The sequence below is a fragment of the Homo sapiens genome, chromosome 17, assembly GCF_000001405.40.
Source record: "Homo sapiens chromosome 17, GRCh38.p14 Primary Assembly".
Taxonomy (NCBI): Eukaryota; Metazoa; Chordata; class Mammalia; order Primates; family Hominidae; genus Homo; species Homo sapiens.
Window position 1 is genome coordinate 7,190,968 of NC_000017.11, and position 21,592 is coordinate 7,212,559.

Below are 21,592 nucleotides of genomic sequence, written 5' to 3' on the forward strand. Positions count from 1 at the left end.
TTTTTTTTTTTTTTTTTTTTGAGATTGAGTTTTGCTCTTAGCGCCAGGCTGGAGTGCAGTGGTGCGATCTCGGCTCACTGCAACCTCTGCCTCCCAGGTTCAAGCGATTCTCCTGCCTCGGCCTACCGAGTAGCTGGGATTACAGGTGCCCGCCAGTGCTGGGATTACAGGCGTGAGCCACCATGCCGCGCCCACAGGGGCACCTCTTTCTAAGCCATCCACTGGGGGTGGCGGGGGAGCTCTTTCTAATCCGAGCAAGGGCACCCTACATGCTGGCAACAGCCTTGCTGTGGCCTCACCTGAGAAGCACTCTGTGAACTCCTGCTCCAGCTTGGTGGCTCTGTCGAAGGCTTTGCGGGCTTGCTCCTCTGTGATCCGCTTGTTAATCTCTCTGTGAAGAGGGAGGGAGAGCAGGCCTGAGACTGGACCCACCTGACCCTGCCTTTTATCTCCTCTATCCAGGAATGTTAAGTATTCTTCTATTTGGAGCACATAGCAAAAAAAAAAATACAATTCCCAATATCCTCTGGGGCCACAGATGAGAACCACCCCCCACCCCCCTGCCACCCGCAACCGCCCCAGCCAGGTGTGGCTACTCCAGGGACATCTACGGAGCTTCATCCTTCCAGCCTTCAGCCCCAGAGATGGGATTCGGACTCCAATTCCCAACAGCCCTAGAGGCCCTGACTCGCCCCAGCTGGTATGCCCCAGGGGCTGCTGGGAAATGTAGTCCTGTCTAGCCAAGGCAGGAGAGGAGGGGAAAGACCCGATTCCCCCACATCCTCTGGGTTCCAGGGATCCCCCTCAGGGGCTGCTGAAACCGCTGTCCAGGGTTCTGAAGGGAGAGTTGAACGCAGACGCCTTGTGAGGCCCAGGGCCACAGGTGTTGGGGGAGCAAAGGGGAGGCCCCCAGGACCATACTCACAGCACATTCTCCAGGGAGCGGGGGCGGATGAAGATGGCGATGGGGTGCAGGTGGGCCGCCTGCAGCCGCCGCACGGCATTGGCCGAGACATCGAGGATGCAGTGCTTCCCCTGGGGGCAGGCAGGGTGGGCGGAGGGGGGCCAGCGGGTGGCGAGAAAGGACAGAGAGCAGTGCCGGAGGGACACGGACGGGGAGAGGTGGGGAATGGGAAGTTGGCCGAAGGGGAGTGACATGGATGTCAAGAAACACGGGGGCAGAGAGTCAGGCAGGAAGCGGGTATGGACAGAGTAAAAGACAGAGGGAAAGGAAAGGGAAGATGGAGAGCACGGGAGAGGGCAGGGACAGGACAGAATGGAGGAAGGGAGGAGCACCAGGCAGGCAGGGACCCAAGAGATGGTGGCAGAGCCGGGGCAGCAGCGAGTGGGGCGGGGTGTGCAAGGCAGAGGTGACACAGGCGGGAAGGAAAGCCAAGAAAAAGGAGAAAGGAAGTAGGATAGAGGGAGGAGGGAGGGGAGGACGGACAGAGGACAGACAGATGGAAGGAACAAGGAGACAGATGGGAGGGAGTGAGGCAGATGGAGAAAGGAACCGTGGAGGGAGGGAGGGAGGGCAGGGTGAGGAGCAGCGGGGAAAGGAAAGGAGTTAGCAGAGGAGTGGGAGAGGGGAGCCGGGCCCCAGAAAAGGGTGAGGCAGGGGAGAGGGCCAGCGGGGAGTCAGGAAAAAGGGAGGGACCCAGTGGGGAAGGCCAAGCCACCAAAGACAAGGCCATGGGAAGAGAGGAGAAATGGGGCAAGGAGAAGGGAGTGGGGAGAGAAAGAGGCCAGATGGTGGTGGGGAATTTGGGGTCAGGAAGTGAGGGAGGTGGGAGAGAGAGCAGGGGCAGAGAGCAGGCAGTCAGACAGAGTTGCCCAAGAGGAGAAGGAGGTGGAGGAGCGGAGTGGAGACCCAGCAGGGAAAGAGACAGAGAGAGAGAGAGTTAGAGAAAGCTGGAGGGAGGCAGTGGGGTGGGGAGAGGGGAGAAGGAAGAGGACCGGGTGCCCGCCAGGTCCTACCTGCTCTGCCACCTCTCGCACGGACTGGACGCTGGTCCCATAGAGGTGGCTGTTGTACTGGCCGGCCTCAATGAACTTGTGCGCCTGAATGTCCTTCTCCATTTTCTCCCGGGACGACACAAAGTGGTAATCCCGGCCATCTATCTCATACTCCCGCTTGGGCCGTGTCGTATCTGCCAGGAAGTCACCCCACCCCCCAAAGATCTAACCACCATCCCTCTAGCTTAAATCCTGCCTACTTCAATCAAATCCCCATAGTGCCCAGCTGGTCCTTTGGTGAAAGGGAGCTGCCAGGGAGACCAAGACTGCAGAGGGCCAGAACCGCTTCCCCTAGCACCCTCCAGGGCCTCCAAGTCTCTGGCCTGGGCATGGGTACTATGGAATGAGAGGGTGGCTGAGAAGCACCCCTTCTCGGAGAAACCCTGTATCTCCCTACACACCGATCCCCCAGGAGGCTCTGCCTATGGCCCCAGGGATGGGCCTCCCCTGCCCCACCCCCACTTCCACCTTCTCCTCCATCCAAGGCCCCAGCACTCACGGGGAACACAGGATCCAAACTTGTCGGGGAACTCGGAGAGAAGATCATCGTTGGCGCGGTCCTTGGTGGGCCCAAGGATGATGATGGGGCGAGCATAGTGCACTGCAGAGAGAGCCTGGCTTAGGCCGAGCGCAGGGTTGGGGGAGCAGCAAGTGCTGGGGCCAAGGCAGGGGCCAGGGCTCACCTTCCATCTGCGTCACTGTCTCGTAGCTCAGAACCGAGTCTTCTCGACCTGGTGGGAGGTGGGGCATCTGCAAGGGGCTCTGAAACAGGGGACCTGGAGCCCTGTCTCCCCCTTGAGGATATCAAAAGCAACTCAGTGCTCCTCTCACCCACATCTTCCCGAACTAACCCTACCTACCCTGCGATCCAGAGCTGGAGCCCCAGTCCTAAGAAGAAAAAGCAGGCCACGGGGTTAGTTATGAGCTCAGCTCCATGAGCCCTCACACTTCCACCCAGGCTCACACCCTCCTCCACCTACCTTGGCCTTTAACCTTGACCACTCTCGTCGCTCAACCCTGTGGGATACATGGAGGGATACGCGGGTAGGGGAATGCCTACCCCCTGCCACCCCCATGCTCTGAGCCAGCTGACAACCCCTTCTCCATACTCTGGGCCAGCTGACACCCCTTCTCCTGCAGCCCTGGACACTGTGCTCCTCAATAAGGAGTTGTCCTTCCCAAAGGCTCATGGGAGCCACGGACCCCAGGAGGGCCCAACAGACAAACCCCTAGGAGTTCAGAGGGCAAACCCATCCCCTGTTGGCTGCCCACCCCGGGGGACCTTGGGAACTTCAGTGCCTGTGGCAGGAAGGCTACAGAGCCCAGGAGCCTCACCGCCGTTTGCTGGGGATGAACCCAATGTCGTCGGTCTCACTGTCAGAGTGGACCCGCCGTGCCTGCCACCACTCCTCATCACTAGCATCGATGACATGCAGCACATCCCCAAAGCGGAAGCTCAGGGCCTGGCTCAGGAAGCCGCAGTCCTTGGTCTTGTCGTAATCAAACAGGGCCCTGGAGGGCAAGTGGCTATCGGTCAGAGCCCAGCTGAGGACTCCAGGAAGGATGCCCCAGTCACCCAAAGACCCGGCCCAGAGGTCTGCAGATGGCACTCCCATGGGAGCTATGGATGCCGAGGAACCCAAAACTGTGTGGGGACCAAACGCTGACTATAACTCATAACAACTATTAGCCATCACTCAGTCCACACTGAGCACAGTTTCCAGAGGCAGGGCTTGAACTTGACCCTCTCAAGAAAGCAGTTTGGGCCAGGCGTGGTGGCTCCCACCTGGAATCCCAGCTGACTTTGGGAGGCCAAGGCGGGCGGATCACAAGGTCAGGAGATTGAGACCATGGTGAAACCCCGTCTCTACTAAAAATACAAAATATTAGCCGGGCACGGTGGCGGGTGCCTGTATTCCCAGCTTCTCGGGAGGCTGAGGCAGGAAAATGGCATGAACCCAGGAGGCGGAGCTTGCAGTGAGCAGAGATCACGCCACTGCACTCCAGCCTGGGCAACGGAGCGAGACACCGTCTCAAAAAAAAAAAAAAAGAAAAAGAAAAAGAAAAACAGAAAGCAGTGTGCAGTACACACGCACATCATAAAGTCACAGGGGTAACCCTGAATCTGCCCAAATTCATAAGAAAAAGAAAATGTCCCGTGTTTCCAAATAATGGTTACCCTTACCAGTATCAAATTTCTATCAGTAAGTCACAACCCCTGGGGTCAGAACCAGGGAAGTAATGAAGACACAGAAGAAAGCAATGGGCCTGGAGAGGAGGGAGGAGACCCCGGGCCCCCTGGAAGTGTGACAACCAGATGACATTCCGCCTGGGAGCCACTACACAACCTCTGTGGTCACTGGGAGTCAGAACAACCTTGGGGACCAACCGGACCCGAGCAGGGAGGAAGGGCAGAGCAAGGGCTCAGGTGGGAGCCAGTGTCTGGGTGGCTGGTGATGCCATCCAACAAGAGGGAAACTGCTGGCACAGCAAGATGGAACCCAGGCCCACAGCAGGATGATGAGCTCAGCGTGGGACATGTTGAGTGTGGGACGCCTGTGGGACATCCCAGTGGAGATGGCCAGAAAGCCAATGGCCAGAAGTGCAGGTCTTGACCTCTGGAAATAGGTCAGCCAGGGCCAGCACCTCCGAGAGACATCTGCAGAGCGCAGCGGCAGACGAGGCCATGCAAGCCACAGGGCCAGACAGGGACAGAAGTGGAGGGGTGACCCCCGGGGGCGGGAGAGAGGTGTGTTTTGGCAGAAACCTAAGCCACAAAAAGAGTCAATGGAGACGAGCCCTAAGAGGGGAGCAAAATGCCGCTGGAGAGACGGGGGCAGGCACCACAGAGCTGCGGCCCACGTCTCCGGGACTGCCCACAGGGACGTGAAGGCTGGGGCAACACTCCAAATACCCTAGAGGACCCTGCTTCACCAAGCATTAACCTTCGAGACGCCAAATTGTGGGGTGGCCTGGGAGTCCCGGGGAAGTGCTGGGATGACCAGGGGCTAGAAGGCAATTGGGATACTTGGGGCAGAGGCTATTTTCCCATCGACAGGGAGTATTTCAAATGTTAACCTGTGCAGCCAAGCCCATGAACCCTGGCTGCGCCTCAGGCCTGGGGTGGGGAGCTAGAGCAGGCAGGGTGGAGAAGAGGAGCGGCTGAGGCCCGGGCCAGGCACAGAGTGCCCAGGAACGCAGAGGGGCTGAGGAGTCCAGCCCGGGAAGCCTCTGACCTGATGTAGAAACCCCTTTTGGGGTTGCTCCGCAGGGACGCAGTCCCTGAGCCCAGGCTGCTGTTCATGAGCTGTTCCCGAAGGTCGTGGATCTTGGCCTCGAATCGGCTGTACTCTGAGGAAGGACAGGGAGGTTTCTGAGCTCTGTCCCCATCCTACTGTCACCCCTGTCCTCCCCTACTGAAGCCATCAGCTGAGGAAGAGTTCTAAGGGCCATTTCAGCTCACAAGACAAGGAACTTCCGGCCTGGTACCTTCTGGTTTATACTGAGCGATGATCGTGACCGTCTGACCCGCATTCTTCAGGGCAATGGCAGCCTGCTCATGGCTGGCATTTCGGAGGTCCACACCGTTGACCTAGAGAGAGGACGACAGGCTGTGTCACCAGAGACAGGAGGCAGCACTTCTGGGTCCAGGTGGAGCAGGGAGTGGTCCCGCAAGAGGACTCGGCTGCAGCCCATCCAGGCCCCTCCCCAAGAGCTCTGCGCTCTGCCCTGTGGGGAGGGGGTGGTGCAGGTAGGGGCAGGCCTTCCCTCACCGACAGGATCTGGTCCCCCTTCCGCAGCTCCCCACTGAGGTCTGCAGGGCCCCCGGCCAGGATAAAGGAGATGAAGATGCCTTCACCGTCCTCGCCACCCACGATGTTGAAGCCCAGGCCCGTGGAGCCCCGGTGGATCACAATTCGCCTCGGTTCTCGGGGAATGTCTTCCTCCCCGAGCAGGTCCTTGGCCACTGGAGAGTAGCGCCGAGGGGAAGTGGGGGTCATGGCTGTGGGGTAGTCGGTGCCCAGGTAGCTGCTGTGACTGATCTCATTGTCCAGGTGCTGGGAATAAGCTGAGGAAGACAGGGCAGAGATGAAAGTGCCTGGAGGGAAACAGCACCCGCCACCCAACCTTCTCCCCAGGGTGCCAGAAGAGCCAAAGTTAGGTGGAAGGGAAGATATTCTGCCAGAGATGCCAGGGTGGGGTGGTAAGGGGATATCAGATCACAGTGACATCAGGGGTCAGGAATTTATAGGTGACATCAGAGGCTGGTTGTCCTAGGGGATAAAGGATTTGAACGTTATATGTCCTCAGTATGCCAGGGATGGGGAAGTCAAAGGGAGCATTAATATTACGCTTTGGGGGTTTTCTCTGGGTTCCTGTGTCACTCGAATCTCTTAATCCATAAAATTCTTCTCCCTCTTTTTTCCCCCCACCTCTCTGCCATCCATTCGTTGAAAAAACTAGGTCATTTGTCTAAAAGAATTTCCCACATTCTATGAGGGAAATTCTTTTGTTTTTTTGGGGTTTTTTTGAGAAGGAGTCTCAGGCTGGAGTGCAGTGCCGTGATCTTGGCTCACTGCAGCCTCTGCCTCCCAGGTTCAAGTGATTCTCATGCCTCAGCCTCCCAAGTAGCTGGGATTACAGGCGCGCGCCACCATGCCCAGCTAATTTTTGTATTTTTAGTAGAGACAGTGTTTCACCATGTTGTCCAGGCTGGTCTGGAACTTCTGAACTCAAATGATCCACCCGCTTATGCCTCCCAAAGTGCTGGGATTACAGGCATGAGCCACCTTGACCAGCCTATGAGGGAAATTCTAACAGGGAAATTACTGCTTACCCTCCTGTGGTTTGTTTAGCCTATGCCTCTGCCCCTGTATCTCCTGTAAACTGGCAGTTCATTCTGGAGGCTTGATCAGTTTCAAGTTCAATTCAGAGTTTTTTTTAGTAACTCCTGTATACTTCATAGGTAGCGCTACGTTCTTCCTACAGCATCACCACAGGATGCAATAATGCCTGGTTGTCTTTCTGTCAGGTAAGATTAATGGTAGGTTCAGGGTCATCAGCCCAGTCCATCCATTATCTAGCGCCCCATCAGCCTTTCAGGTAAGTTTTAGCCACACTGACAATCACCGCCTGGTTCTGATAAGTATCAAGGACTGCAAAATGGTGGTGATTGTCATTTACTAGTGGGAATTCTTCTGTAAAAAAGAAAAATCTCGACCAGGCACGATGGCTCATGCCTGTAATCCCAGCACTGTGGAGGCCAAGGCAGGCAGATCACTTGAGGTTAAGACTTTGAGACCAGCCTGGCTAACATGGTGAAATCCCGTCTCTACTAAAAATACAAAAATAGGCTGGGCGTGCTGGCTTACGTCTATAATCTCAGGTACTCGGGAGGCTGAGGCAGGAGAATTGCTTGAACCCAGGAGGCGGAGGTTGCAAGGAGCCAAGATTGTGCCACTGCACTCCAGCCTGGGTGACAGAGCGAGACTCCCTCTCAAAAAAAAAAAAAAAAAATTCCTCCAGCTTGGGTAACATGGTGAAACCCTATCTCTACAAAAGACAAAAGTTGAAAGTTAGCTGAGGCTGGGCGCAGTGGCTCACGCCTGTAATCCCAGCACTTTGGGAGGCCGAGGCAGGTGGATCACAAGGTCAGGAGTTCAAAACCAGCCTGGCCAAGATGGTGAAATCCCATCTGTACTAAAAGTACAAAAATTAGCTGGGCGCAGTGGCAGGGCCCTGTAATCCCAGCTACTCGGGAGGCTGAGGCAGGAGAATTGCTGGAACCCGGGCGGCAGAGGTTGCAGTGAGCCAAGATCGTGCCACTGCACTCCAGCCTGGGTGACAGAGTGAGACTCCATCTCAAAAAAAAAAAAAAAAAAGTTAGCTGAGCATGATGGCACTCGCCTGTAATCCCAGCTACTCGGGAGGCTGAGGTGGGAGGATCGCTTGAGCCCAGGAGGCGGAAGTTGCAGTGAGCCAAGATCACACCACTGCACTCCAGCCTGCTGGGTGACAAAGCAAGACCTGCCTCCAACAAAAAAAAAGCAAAAACAAAAACAAAAAAACAGCCCTATGTCAACCTGTTGGTTACTCTCTGAGGTAGCTGGTACATGAAAGGGAGGATAAATGCATGCCTCTCTCTGCATGCCTCTTTCCATTCATTCACCAATTTCAGAATGAATGAGATTGCCTAGCATCCTCCAATTTTTTTTTTAATTATTTATTTTTTTGGGATGGAGTTTCACTCTTGTCGCCCAGGCTGGTGTGCAGTGGTGCGATCTTGGCTCACTGCAACCTCTGCCTCCCAGGTTCAAGGGATTCTCCCACCTCAACCTCTCCAGCAGCTAGGATTACAGGCACCCACCACCACGCCTGGCTAATTTTTTGTATTTTTAGTAGAGACGGGGTTTCGCCATGTTGGGCGGGCTGGTCTCGAACTCCTGACCTCAGGTGATCCGCCTGCCTCAACCTCCCAAAGTGCTGAGATTACAGGCATGAGCCACCGCGCCCAGCCAAAATATTTTTAAGTATTATTATGATCTTAAAGATTTTAATATATTTAACGAGTTTTCACTGGACAGTAGAAGCACCTTCAGTTTGGATCCTGTGTCTTTGCTGAGACCCTATTAGTCCTGGATACCTTCCTTGCTCTCTAGTATGAAAGAAGTTAGAAGCTCATCTTACAGATTTATTGCCAAAGATTTTAAATTGGCTGGGCACGGTGGCTCAGGCCTGTAATCCCAGCACTTTGGGAGGCCGAGGTGGGGGGATCATGAGGTCAGGAGATCAAGACCATCCTGGCTATCACGGTGAAACCCCATCTCTACTAAAATATACAAAAAAATTAGCCAGGCGTGGTGGTGGGCACCTGTAGTCCCAGCTACTCGGGAGGCTGAGGCAGGAGAATGGCATGAACCCGGGAGGCGGAGCTTGCAGTGAGCCAAGATCGTGCCACTGCACTCCAGCCTGGGCGACAGAGCGAGACTCCGTCTCAAAAAAAAAAAAAAAAGAAAAGAAAAAAAAAGATTTTAAATTGACCCTTCTTCCAAGGAGCCCAGGTTCCTTTTGTTAGGTTATGGTATTTAGGAATAGTACCACATGATTTTAATATGGTTTTACAGTATTATTTCATATTTTGTAGGGGCTGCCACACCTCATTATTTGTTTCCAAAATGTCTTAGCTTTTCCACACAAATTTTTCCAGTCAAACTTTAGTGTCAACCTTCCAAGTTCCCAGTAGGGAAACAACATTAAAATTCTGATTAGGATTGAATGGAATGTAGATTAATTTGGAGCCGGTTGAGATCTTTAGCATATTAAGTTTTTCCATCCAGAGACACGGTGTGACTCCTCACCCCTTCCAGTCTTGTTTTATGTCTTTCAGTAAAGTTTTGTCATTTTCTTCATACAAATCTTACATTTCTTGTCAAGTTTCTATTTCTAATAATTTTATAGAAATTTTTTCTATGGCAAAAGGGGGCTTTTTATTCACTACATTTTCTTATTGCTGGGAAGTTACTAATTCCTGTTATTTATCTTACAAATAGCCACATTCCTTTTTTTTTTTGTCGTTTTTTGAGACAGAGTTTCACTCTTGTTGCCCAGGCTGGAGTGCAATGGCGCGATCTCAGCTCGCCGCAACCTCCGCCTCCCAGGTTCAAGCAATTCTCCTGCCTCAGCCTCCTGAGTAGCTGGGATTGCAGGCATGCACCACCATGCCCGGCTAATTTTGTATTTTTAGTAGAGATGGGGTTTCTCCATGTTGGTTAGGCTGGTCTCGAACTCCCAACCTCAGGTGACTCACCCATCTCGGCCTCCCAAAGTGCTGGGATTACAGGCATGAGCCACCGGCGCGCCCAGCCTGTTTTGGTTTTTTTTTTTTTTTTTTTTTGAGATGGAGTCTCGCTCTATCGCCCAGGCTGGAGTGCAGTGGTGAGATCTTGGCTCACTGCAAGCTCCGCCTCCCAGGGTCAAGGAATTCTCCTGTCTCAGCCTCAGGATTAGCTGGTATTACAGGCGCTCGCCACCACACCCAGCTAATTTTTTTTTGTATTTTTAGTAGAGACAGCGTTTCTCCATGTTGGCCAGGCTGTTCTCAAACTCCTGACCTCAGGTGATCCGCCCGCCTTGGCCTCCCAAAGTGTTGGGATTACAGGCATGAGCCACCTCGCCCAGCCAACAAATAGCCACATTCTTAACTTTGCATATTTTTCCAGTTAATTCACTTAGATTTTGATCTAGATGCACAGTAGTATAATTTACAAATAGAGATAACTTTTGTTTTTCCCTTCCAAATGTAACTATTCTCCTTGTCTTGTTACACTGTCTGAAATCTCTAAAGCAGTGATTCTCAACCACCATAATTTCGCTGGGGCAATTCTGTCATAACATTTTTTAATTGTTATGACTGAGGGGGAGGAGTACCATTGTCATCTGATAGACAGAGGCCAGGGATGCTGCTTAATATCCCACAAGGCACAGAACAACCCCCCACAATGAAGAGTTATTGGGTCCAAAAATGTCAGGAGTAACACTGAGAAACCCTGCTCTAAAGCAATGAAGAATAATAGCAGTGGGAAGAGGCATCCCTGCCCTCTTTGTAAGTTAACGGAGGCCGGGCGCGGTGGCTCACGCCTGTAATCTCAGCACTTTGGGAGGCCGAGGAGGGCAGATCACCTGAGGTCAGGCATTCGAGACCAGCCTGGCCAACATGGTGAAACCCTGTCTCCACTAAAACTACAAAAATTAGCCAGGCGTGATGGTGGGCACCTGTAATCCCAGCTACTCGGGAGGCCGGGGCAGCAGAATCACTTGAACCTGGGAGGCAGAGGTTGCAGTCAGCTGAGATCACACCACTGCACTCCAGCCTGGGCAAGAAGAGCGAAACTCCATTTCAAGAAAAAAATTAAAATTAAATTAAAAAATAAGTTAATGGACACACTGCTAAAATTGTATCATTATAAAATGTTTGTTACTGGTTCCTGATAACTAGTCTTCACCATCTTAAGGAAAATTTCTGTGTTCCTAGTTTACTAAAAGCTTTCATCCAAAAGAGATGGTGAATTTCACCAAATGCCTTTTTCACGTCTATTTAAGATAATCACATCGTTTTCTCCTCTCGCTCTGTCACCCAGTCTGGTGGGCAGTGGCGCAATCATTGGCTTACTGCAGCTTCCAACTCCTCGGCTCAAGCGATCCTCCAGCCTCAGCCTCCCAAGTAGCAAGGAGTATAGGCACGTGCTAATTTTTTTAATTTTTTTAGAGACAGGATCTCGCTTTGTTGCCTAGGCTGGTCTCAAATCCCTAGCTGGTCTCAAATCCTCCCACTTTGGCCTCCCAAGTGCTGGGATTACAAGCATGAGCCACCACACTTAGCCTCCCGTAACGTTTTAATATATGAATCATATTAAGAGATTTCCTAATATTGAGCCATCTTTAGTTTTCTGAAACAAACCCTATGTTATTCCCTTAACATGCTGCCATGTTTGCTTTGCTACTATATTATTGTAAACTCTTGTATCTCTATTCAGAAGCAAAACGGGTCTATACTCTCCTTATTTTACACTATCCTTGTGACCATTCGAACTGGCCTTATAAAATGAAATGTGAAATCTTTTATCTTTTCCTGTACTCTGGAAGAGCAGAAGAATTATCTATTCCTTGAGAATTTCACAAAATTAGCCATAAAACCAACCAGGCTTTGTGCCTTCCAGGAGAGAGATCGTTGACGATCTTTTCTAGTTCTTTTATGGTAATTGATTTTCCATCTCTTCTCCAACAACAGCAAGGATCAGAGGTTGTGGCTATTTCATAGGGAATATCTGAAGAGGGACAGCTACAGGGATGTCGTGGGACTGCATGTCATGGGTTAAACGGGATGGGTCATGGGGAACTTTGGTGTTTGAAGGGCTCTCACAGGTTGTGATGTCTGGGGGAGCATAGCTGTCACTCAGGTAGGCATTGCTGGGCTTGGCCACCTTTAGGTAGACAACATCATACGTGTTCTTCAGGGCTGCCACAGCATCTTCATGCATGACGTCCTCTAGCCCCACACTGTTGACCTGGAGTCAAGGAAAGCAAAGCTCAGACAAAGCCACAAATGGCCCAAGACAGAAGCACTGGGGTGAAGTGATGAACTTGGGCCTGCCAGGGCTAGTAGGTGAGACCCAAATCTGGGCTAGAAAATGGGCTAGATGGAGTCCTCACCGCCAGGATCTTGTCTCCAATCTGCAACCTCCCATCCTTGTGGGCAGCACCCCCTTCGATGATCTTTGTTACATAGATGCTATTATCTCCTGGGATGTGCTGGTTCCCTACGCCCCCTGCGATGCTGAAGCCAAGACCTGGATGGAGGGGAGGCCAGAGGTGGGTGCCCAGGAAGCAGGCTTGGGGGCACAGGACAGTTGGGATGGGGGTGGGAACAAAATGAGTTACTACCTTTAGGCCCCTTGATGAGCTTGATCTCCATGACCTTCTCAGCCGGGGGCTTCCGGCGCATGACATAGAGGCGAACGATGGAGCCTGCCTCTTTGAGGGCTTCCACCGCCGCTGAGTGGGTCACCTCGCGCACGTCCACTTCATTTACAAACAGGATGCTGTCGTTGACCCTGGGAGCAGCAAGGTGGGCCTGAGCCAAGAGCTTCCTGCTGCCCTGGCCCTCCCTCTCCAGGGACCAAGCAACCTAACCCCTGTCTCCTCTCCCCACCTGAGGCGGCCATCCTGGGCCGCAGCCCCACCAGGAATGATCTTGGTGATGAAAATGGATGGGTCGTCACCGATGTGTGGGTTGTCAGTGCCACCTGCGATGCTGAAGCCCAGACCTGAGTTACCCTGGGTGAAGGAGGGGAAGAGGGTCAGCTCCCCTCACTGCCCAAGTCTGGCAAGGCAAGTGGGGTGGGAAATGGCTTGGAGCAGCCAGAGGAGGAAGGCACAGGGTGAGGGGCTAGCCACCCAGACCACATGGCAGAAAGAAAGGTACAGACGGGAGGCCACGGGGACTGCCGATGGAGGAGCCTGCTCACCCTTTCCAATGTGATTTCCTCGTATTCCATCTCCCCCTCGGTCCCGTTCACCTGCAACTCCAGCACGGGACAGAAACACAAAAGCAGTGAGACAGACATTCCTGTCTGACCACCTGCCCGTCATCTGCTGCCCTCCCTTACTCCCTCCTTCCTTCTGCAATGGCCCCAGCCCCAAAATCTAAACAACTCACATATCCTGGGGCTTCTAGGGTATCTGTGTTGACAATCACTGGGGGAGAATTGGCCTGTTTGGGAAAACAAGAGACAAAAAGCAGCCTGAGCCTTGACTCGAGAGGGAGCCCATAACGGAGGGTCCCATCAGCGTGGCTACCCTTTCAGCCTCTTAGCCAAGCCCACTCCGCCACCCTGAGAGCTGCTCAAGGGCCCAGCCTCAATCCACATCACACACACGCACACGCGTGCACATGCGCACGCGCACACACACGCACAGATGCACACGCGCAAGGATCTAACTCTGCCCAGCCCGGGGCCCCCTGCATGTGGAAGGAGGTGTAGGAGAAGCGGGAAGGGAGACAGCCAGACGGAGAGGGGAGCAGCAGATGGCAAAGAGTGGGGAGAGGGGGGTAGGCTTGGGGGAAGGGAGCTTCTCACCGGATGTAACACCACAGGGTGTTACATGCCTTATGTGCTACACATGGACACCCCAGGGATCATGTCCACCGGGTCCTGGTCCCCATTTCCTGCCCCATCCCCCCAACCCCCCATATCTACCCAGATATTTTCATAACCCTCCCCTAGACTTGCCCCTCACTTTCACAGACATTTGCCCTAAACCCTGCACCCCGGGAATCCGGGGTTCCCCAGCTGCAGGCCCCTCCCTCGGTCTCACCAACCAGCCGTCCAATCCACCCCTTCCTCTAAGGACCGTGTTGCCTAGCAACGGTATCTAGGACCAGTCAAGACCCGGGGAGACCCACCTCCAGGAGGCCCTGTCGTCAGGACAACAGGGGGGTGGGGCGTGGCCTGGGGCCGACCAAACTCCTGAGCGCAGAAGGGATCCGCTAGCCCCGCCTCTCCTGCCCTGGGCCCCGCCCCACGTTAGCCAGGCCGAGAGGAGGCCGGGCTGAAGAGGTTTGTGGGCGCAGCGCATCCTGAATAACCTGCCTTCCTCGCTCCCCTACGCCCCTCACCCTACGCAGTGCAAAGGACGTCAGGAACTGGGAGTGGTGAAAGACATCCGGGTCCTATCCCGCTCATCTACTCCCTCCCCCCACTTCATTCGGGAAAGGGTTAAAGTGGGGCGTGCCCAGGTCCCTGACGTCAATCGCCTGGTCTCTAGACTCCCAGGCGGGGCCCGCTTTAGCCCGGTCCTAGGGGCTTCCCCAATTGCCAGGGCAACCGAAGCCACGTCTCTATGGCAATGGGGGGAGGCCGCCAAGAGCCTCCTTCCGGGGTCCCCAACCTACTTCCTCCTTAAAGAAACATGTATTTGCAGTCGCCCAAGCGCAAGGATTCCCCAGTCTCCTTCCCGCTCTCCCCGTCCAAAGGGGTCCCTCCCCTCTCCTACTGCTATTTCTCAAGCCTACAAACTACCGACCATTTTCAAGCTGTATCACAGATTTCACACCCATAAATCTATTAACACCACCCTCCAACCCTTCACATATCAGCAAATGCTGTTGTCCAACCAACAGTCACTGACTGCCAAAATCTCATCCACGTGTTCATCCCCCATCCCACAGCCCGTCCCCCATCCCACAGCCCGTCCCCCATCCCGCAGCCCGTCCCCCATCCCGCAGCCCGTCCCCCATCCCGCAGCCCGTCCCCCATCCCGCAGCCCGTCCTCCATCCCATAGCCCGTCCTCCATCCCATAGCCCATCCTCAATCCCCATCCCCATCCCTATCCTGGAACCTCCTTCCCAGCACACCCACCTTCATCCACTACGACATTCATTTGCTTCCCATCCCTATCTCTGCCCGCATCCCACATGCTCCATCTCCATCCCTGTCTCGCCCTTCAACATCCATCTTCCAACCCCAGCCTCCATTCTCCATCCGCTTCCCTGGCCCTGTCGCACCCTCCAGCCCCATCCCTTACCAATGTGGCCTCATCCTCCATCCCAATTTCTTTTTTTCCAGAGACAAGGTCTCGCTGTGTCACCCAGGCTGGAGTGCAGTGGTGTGATCATAGCTCACTGCGGCCTTGAACTCCTGGGCTCAAGCAGTCCTCCCACCTCAGCCTCCTGAGTAGCTACAGGCACATGCCACCCCACCCAGCTACTCCATCTCAATTTCTGATTCCCCAGAGAGTTTATCACCATTCTCCCTTACCCTACCTTCATACCCTCAAGATTATTCTCAAGTAACAATCTTACACTTCTCAATCAACTCCCCTCTCTTCTGAAAATTGGGGCTTCTCCTGTTCCCCAGGTGAGGCCTTGTCCTGAGACCTCCACCCCATGCTTATGGCCTCCAACACTCTCTCCCTCCACCCCCTTCTGCTCCTGAGCTCTGATCAGCAGCAGCTCTGTACTAACTACCACCCCTCAGGCTCCCTACCTCCTCTTCCCCCTGCTCAGGGATTTAATGGCCCTGCCTTGCACAAAGCATCTCTAGTCTTCTTTCCCTCACTCCTAGCATCCACAGAATTCGCACAAACACTCTGTACCATCCCTGTCTCCAGGGCCTTCCTTTCCTTGCTCTGTCAGCCTCATTCACTGCCCTGATCTCACAGTCTTATCCCTATCTGGCCCCTGACCCAGGACCTCTTACCCTTCCTATCCCCCAACTCCTCTCTTGCCAGTTCTAACTCCAGAACCTGCTTGCCCGCTCCCTAGGCTCAGAGACCTCCTCCCCATCTTCTTGGTGAAATGTCAGCAACCTCCCCCTTCCCAGAGCATCCCACAACATCCTAGAATCCCCACCCTGACCCCACAGTGTCCCCTCAATCTCACAGCTTGCCTGGTGCTCTCCAGTCCTCCCCATCCTGTGTCCCCAGAAGAGGAGATGGAGGAAGGGGAAGATGGAAAGTGGACTGGAGAATGGAAGGTCCCAGAAACCAGGCCTCCCGGGACTGGAGAGAGGAGGACGCTGTGAGCAGAGAGGAGAAAGGGAAACAGGTGGTGGGGGATGATGGAGGGGGCAGAGGGGGATAGAAAGAAGATATGGCAGAGGTGAGAACCCAAGAGGATGAGAGAGGGGAGGAGGAAAAGAGGGAAGGTGAAGATGAATAGGCAAGAGGGAACATGGGAAAGGGGAGCTGGCTGATGGAGGGAGAGGACTGATGAGGGAAAGGACTGATCAGGCCCCAGCGGCCTGGGCTGGGGATCAGGGAGAGGGAGAGGAGAATGCGTGGGAGGAAGAGAGAGACAGCATCAAGAGCCAGCCAGCCAGCCAGCCAGCAGGGAGGAAAGGCTGCAGAGGGGGAAGAGAACTCAGGAGTGGAGCAAAGCTGGGGCAGGGGACGAGGCAGCAAGGCCCCACCATGTGAAGTCTCAGGCCAGACAGATGGAAAGAGCTGGAGACTTGGGGACAGGGCGAGCCAGGCCCAGAGGCGGAGGTAGGGGGAGGAGGCGGGGAAGGGACAAGAGCAAATGAGGGCAGCAGGCGCTTGGAACAGAGCTCTGGACACAGAAAATGGAAATGGAGGTTGGGGGTGTGAAGGAATGAAGAGGTCCCAGGCGTGGGGGCCTCTTGGGGGATGCACACACCTCAACACACACGCATACAGCACACGCACAGGCACACAAACGGCGCACGCACGCACACACACACACAGCACACACACAGGCACGCATGCATGCACACACGCACAGGCACACACACAGCACACGCGCACAGGCACGCGCGCACACACACATTCTTGCTTTAGGCTTTACATCCACTCCCATTGGCCTGGCCTGTTTCTCCTCTGTGGGACCAAGGTGTTTCCAGCCCCACAAACGCCCCCTCCCCCAGACCCCAGGAGCCCAAGCCCCAAACCCCCGCCCCCAGTCCCAGCATCCCCCTCCCCACGGCTCTCTCTCACCCTACCGGCCCTTAGGGATTGCTGCAGCTCCGAGGCTCCGAGGGCCGCACTGGGGAGGGGGCCACCAGGGTCTCCTACCTTGAAGGGGGAGAGGTGGGCGTGGCCCACGACCCCGTGGCCAGCCTCGAGGTGGGACAAGTTCCTCTCCGCCACGTGCACCAGCTCGGGGGCGTTTACCTGGTTGGGGAGGTGGGCCGGGCTGTGCTCCAGAGGGGGCGTGTCTTCATCTTGGTAGCGGTATTTCTGGGGATGGGGACGGAGGTGTCACTGGGGCCAGCCCGGTGCCTCAGGCTCCAGGCTGGCCGCCCTGGCCGCCGCCTCTTCCCCCAGCCAGTGCAGTGCGGAAGGCCCTGGGGCCTGACCAGCTCCTCCCCCTCCCTCTCCTCTAGCCCATTGGCTCCCCTCTCTCCACTCTCCCAACAGCCCCCTCTCCCGCCAGGGCCTCAGCACCTCTCATCAATCCCCAGGTCCCAATCCCATCCCCCAACTCCTACTCCTCACATCCTGGGACACTGGCCTTCTGGTGGGCATAGCCCCTCTGGCATCTGTGTCTTCACCCCTTTCCCCACCACCTTCATCTTCGAGTCCCTCCAGCTTCTCAGAGCTCTAGCCCCGACACTCACATCTCCATTCTCTGCCTCCAGTCCCCAACTTCCTTGCTTCTCTCACCATCTCAGACTCACTCTTGTTCTAGCCTCCCCTCCCCTACCCCTCTGGCTGCTCCTACTCTGCATGGCATCCTCCCCGCGCCCCACCTCCATGGCCTCAGTCTCCCCATTGCAGCCTCTACCCCACAGGTGATTGGCTCTCCTTTACCTTGCACTCCTTAGGCAAGGACTGAAGTCACCCCTTCCACCAGAAGGTACTTGGTATCAGCCCCCGAGACAGGACAAGGCTAAGCCTGTCCAGTTCACTGCCCTTGCTGGTTTCCAAGCAGTCAACAGAGGGGCCCCGGGAGTCTGGCCCTACCCCTGCAACAGCCCACAGCCCAGCCAGCTAATCCGGTTATGCTATAAGGGCATGGGCTGGGGGAGGAAGGGGAAGAACAGAGACAGCAGGGCTCAGGACAGGGGCAAGAATGGGTGCCAGCCTCCCTGGTTGGGGAGGAGGGTAGCATGCTGAGCCTCAGAGTGAATTTCTGGTCTCCCTCTGCTCTTTTGGGGTGAAAGGCCCAACATGACCCCTGACTCCCTGCCCAGTTAATCAGCTGCCATCCCAAGGGCCTCCTGTGCTAGCTTAATAGGGACAACAGTAAAATGAGATTAACTGGGGGCCAGAGAAGGAGGAAAAGGGCAGATGGAGACAGCAGAAGAAGACAGCGTTTCTGCCTGGGTCCTTCCGTGTCCGCCTCTGCCCTCGCCTGCTCCTCTCCTCTGGAACGGGCCTCCACAGAGACTGACCCTCCAAGCTCCAGGTTCAGGAAGGGGAAGGTATCATACGCAGGGATCCCTCAGGAACTGAAGAAGACAGAATGCACCGCCCAGTACACATGGGTAAAAAGAGAAGGCACGGCAATCCCAGCACTTTGGGAGGCTGAGGCAGGCAGACAGCTTGAGCCCAGGAGCTGGAGTTGGAGACCAGCCTGGGCAACACAGTGAAACCCTGTCTACAAAAAATACAAAAATTAGCCAGGCATGGTGGTGCACACCTGTAGTCCCAACTGCTAAGGAGGCTGAGGTGGGAGGATTGCTTGAGCCCAAGAGGTGGAGGCTGCAGTGAGCCATGATCACGCCACCGCACTCCAGCCTGGGCAACAGAGTAAGACCCTGTCTCAAAAAGAGAGAGAGGCCAGGAGCAGTGGCTGATGCTTATAATGCCGAGGTGGGTACATCACCTGAGGTCAGAGACCAGCCTGGCCAACATGGTGAAATCCCATCTCTACTAAAAATACAAAAATTAGCTGGGCGTGGTGGCACATGGCTGTAATCCTAGCTACATGGGAGGCTGAGGCAGGAGAATTGCTTGAACCTGGGAAGCGGAGGTTGCAGTGAGCCGAGATCATGCCACTGCACTCTAGCCTGGCGACAGAGTGAGACTCCATCTCCAAAACAAAAAAGAGAGAGGGCGAGCAGAATTTCCCTCCCAAAAGTTTCTGAGAGGCTGAGAGTGCCCTAATACTTAGAGGGCAGCAGCTGCGAGATCAAATGGGAGGAAGCTTATCAAGGTCAATGGCCAATCCTTGAGTAGGATTCTGAAAATGTTAAAGATGATGAATCAAGGCTGAGAATATAACACAACTTTGGCTGTAGAGTAAGGGTACAGTAAGAGAATGGGAGAAGGGAAGTGGTCCTGTCAGCACGAAAACTCTCAAACCCAGAACACAGAGACAACTCAAATCAAGAAGCACCCTGATACATTTAAAGAGTCTTAAAGAAGGAAAACGGGCTCAGCAAGATTGAGTCTATTCTCTGGGCCACAGACTTGGAGAGAATCCTGAACTCCAGATTTCAATCCGATGGGCACAAAAAGTAGAGAAGGAAAATAGGAGAACACACAAAATAGCCCTCCTCCAAGGCTGAGCTGTCTTGAATAAAGGAGTTCTATGAACCAACAGAGACTGTTCATTCCACATCCTGAGAAGGTGGTCTTCTACCTGGGCAGTGCACAAGCTGAGGGGCAAGCCCCAGAATTGAGACCTGGGGGAAGGGGTGGAAGCCGCTCTCCGCTATCCACTCTTCCTTCACAAGGCCTCCAATTCCCTGCAAGGTAAATTAGGACCAAAGCTCCAAGTTTTGGAGTCTGGGGGAGGGTTTGAGTCCAGTGCCTCTCCATCTTCACTCCACCTCAGAGAGAAAATTCCTGAATCTGAGGAGGAAATGTCAGCGTGCACCCAAAGAAAATGGAAACATGAGGAGGGCCATTTCATCATTTATTCTAGGGAGGAAATGAAGGTAAACTTTTATCTCAGCGAGCCCCCAATACCTCTCCCTGCCCCACCCCCATGGAGGGAGGGTGGTGTCTGGCACTGAAGAAAAGGCTCCTCAGGATTGGGAGGCAACATGGAGAAAATGGGGAACAAGAAATGGGTGCCAGGGTTTCCAGAATGTGGCTGGAAGAGGTTAGGGACTAGGTTCAGTCTCTGGAAATTTTCGACGTACATGTAGGGGGGCGGGGAGAAACGTCGGGAGGGGTGGGGGTGGGGGCGGGGGAGAGTAATTCTGAAACTGCAGACTGGGGGGCTGGGGCGGTGGGGGATCAGCACCTCTCAGTCTTGGATTACAGGGCAACTAAAGCAGGACGGGAAAGGAGGACCCCCCCCATCCTTTATCCTACTGGGACTCAGGGCCCTAACCCAGACAACTCAGATGCTACTGGGACATATCTGCACCCCCAATATATTAGGGCTTAAAACAAGTAAAAGGCCTGGGGAATGGGGGACACGGACGGAGTCGCTGTTGTTCCTTCCCCTTTGGCCCCCTCCTCACCAGAGCCCCAGTTGCACAGAATGACCTGGAACTGAGGCTTGCACCCCCAAAACATAGGGGTGTGAGTCAAAGTGAATGATAAGAGGGGCGACCCACGGCGCCTGTCCACGAGAAGTTGCAACCCAGAGACCCCGCACCAAGCAGAAGGAAGAGCGACAGCGCTTGAAGCTTGCACCCTGATATTTGCGGGGGTCCGGGAAGGGGGAGCGGGCCGGAGCCCATACCGCGGCACGTACCACGCAGAGACACATGGAGGCGAATCTGTTCCGAGCCGACATGGAGAAGGGGAGGGGGACTGAGGGAAGGGGGTAGGTGGGATATCAAGGGTCCCGGGGGTTGGGGGAGGGGGAGGGGCAGAGGGGCGGGGGCTGCGGCGGCCGCGGCAACTGGAGGCTGCGGCGGGGGGGGGGGGGGGGTGACGGCGCCTGCGCAGTAAGGAAGAGCGTCACGTTGGGAGAGAGGGGTGAGGGGAGACCCTCTTAGCCACCAACTTCCCTGGTTCACGCTGTTTCTCTGTGAACTTCACTTTCCACAGTATACTTCTATTCCGACCCCTCTACAATTAAAGACAGACTTAAATTTACCAGTTTATCTCTCTAGTTCTCAGGGACCCCTTATTCCATCCCATCTAATCCCCCAACCCCAACATCGCGAGACCCCAAACCATTCCAAAACCTCACTGGACATCTCGTCACTACTGGCCTCCCAGAGTCCAGGGAAACAAACAGCACTTCTCTCACAAGAACCCCCAAGGGATCTACACTGCCTCTCCCACCAAACCCCCGCAAGATTGGTGCTGTGGATAGCATCTCCTCAGATTCCAAGGCATCTCCTACTCTAACCAGCATAGTTCTCCCCTGCAGTCCAGCCCCACCTGATAGGCAGCCCATGTTTCTTCAAGAGTTTAAGGAACCACAGAGCCTTGTTGGCCCCCCAAATTAATATATGCTAAATCATCCCTTTCTATATCACATCTATCTCCCAATCCACTAACAGGGATGTTGCAATTAGTGCAAATATTACTCTTGCTCTAATATAAACATCCAAATAACAAGTCCTCTAATTTGTTGGGGATCCCCTGTCCAAACCCCCGAATCTAATAAGATACTCATGACTTCCTAATATGCCAGTCTCCAAA

General features: G+C 54.5%; 1 protein-coding gene across 8 annotated transcripts in view, besides 4 other annotated features; it reads right to left on the reverse strand.

Moving 5' to 3' along the window:
* DLG4 (discs large MAGUK scaffold protein 4) overlaps nt 1-21,592 on the reverse strand; it is a 32,864-nt gene that overhangs the window by 3,781 nt on the left and 7,491 nt on the right. For 2 of the 8 annotated variants that reach the window (NM_001365.5, NM_001321075.3), the window contains 18 exons: nt 17,207-17,272; nt 13,232-13,285; nt 13,041-13,100; nt 12,725-12,849; nt 12,457-12,626; nt 12,226-12,362; nt 11,936-12,080; nt 5,790-6,085; nt 5,506-5,608; nt 5,253-5,367; nt 3,352-3,528; nt 2,997-3,033; nt 2,877-2,904; nt 2,700-2,747; nt 2,516-2,617; nt 1,978-2,150; nt 926-1,035; nt 300-391 (listed from right to left, as the gene is read on the reverse strand). In NM_001365.5, coding sequence (NP_001356.1) covers nt 300-391; nt 926-1,035; nt 1,978-2,150; nt 2,516-2,617; nt 2,700-2,747; nt 2,877-2,904; nt 2,997-3,033; nt 3,352-3,528; nt 5,253-5,367; nt 5,506-5,608; nt 5,790-6,085; nt 11,936-12,080; nt 12,226-12,362; nt 12,457-12,626; nt 12,725-12,849; nt 13,041-13,100; nt 13,232-13,285; nt 17,207-17,272 — 2,038 coding nt within the window. Of the gene's footprint in view, nt 1-299; nt 392-925; nt 1,036-1,977; nt 2,151-2,515; nt 2,618-2,699; nt 2,748-2,876; nt 2,905-2,996; nt 3,034-3,351; nt 3,529-5,252; nt 5,368-5,505; nt 5,609-5,789; nt 6,086-11,935; nt 12,081-12,225; nt 12,363-12,456; nt 12,627-12,724; nt 12,850-13,040; nt 13,101-13,231; nt 13,286-13,978; nt 14,221-15,963; nt 16,305-17,206; nt 17,273-21,592 lie in introns of those variants that run through there. The other 6 variants (NM_001128827.4, NM_001321074.1, NM_001369566.3 and 3 more) reach the window with 5 other exon arrangements.
* Nucleotides 5,126-6,325: an enhancer, noted in NCBI's record as "MED14-independent group 3 enhancer chr17:7099412-7100611 (GRCh37/hg19 assembly coordinates)". NCBI's record gives its function as "activates an origin of replication core promoter dependent on BRD2, BRD4, P300/CBP and CDK7 cofactors, and independent of MED14, by STARR-seq in HCT116 cells {active_cell/tissue: HCT116}" and the evidence as "EXISTENCE:reporter gene assay evidence [ECO:0000049][PMID:35650434]".
* Nucleotides 14,203-14,252: an enhancer, noted in NCBI's record as "active region_11603". NCBI's record gives its function as "activates an Ori minimal core promoter by ATAC-STARR-seq in GM12878 lymphoblastoid cells {active_cell/tissue: GM12878}" and the evidence as "EXISTENCE:reporter gene assay evidence [ECO:0000049][PMID:35858748]".
* Nucleotides 20,062-20,576: an enhancer, noted in NCBI's record as "H3K4me1 hESC enhancer chr17:7114348-7114862 (GRCh37/hg19 assembly coordinates)". NCBI's record gives its function as "activates a minimal SCP1, AML or CMV promoter by ChIP-STARR-seq in primed H9 embryonic stem cells {active_cell/tissue: H9 hESC(primed)}" and the evidence as "EXISTENCE:reporter gene assay evidence [ECO:0000049][PMID:30033119]".
* Nucleotides 20,577-21,091: an enhancer, noted in NCBI's record as "H3K4me1 hESC enhancer chr17:7114863-7115377 (GRCh37/hg19 assembly coordinates)". NCBI's record gives its function as "activates a minimal SCP1, AML or CMV promoter by ChIP-STARR-seq in primed H9 embryonic stem cells {active_cell/tissue: H9 hESC(primed)}" and the evidence as "EXISTENCE:reporter gene assay evidence [ECO:0000049][PMID:30033119]".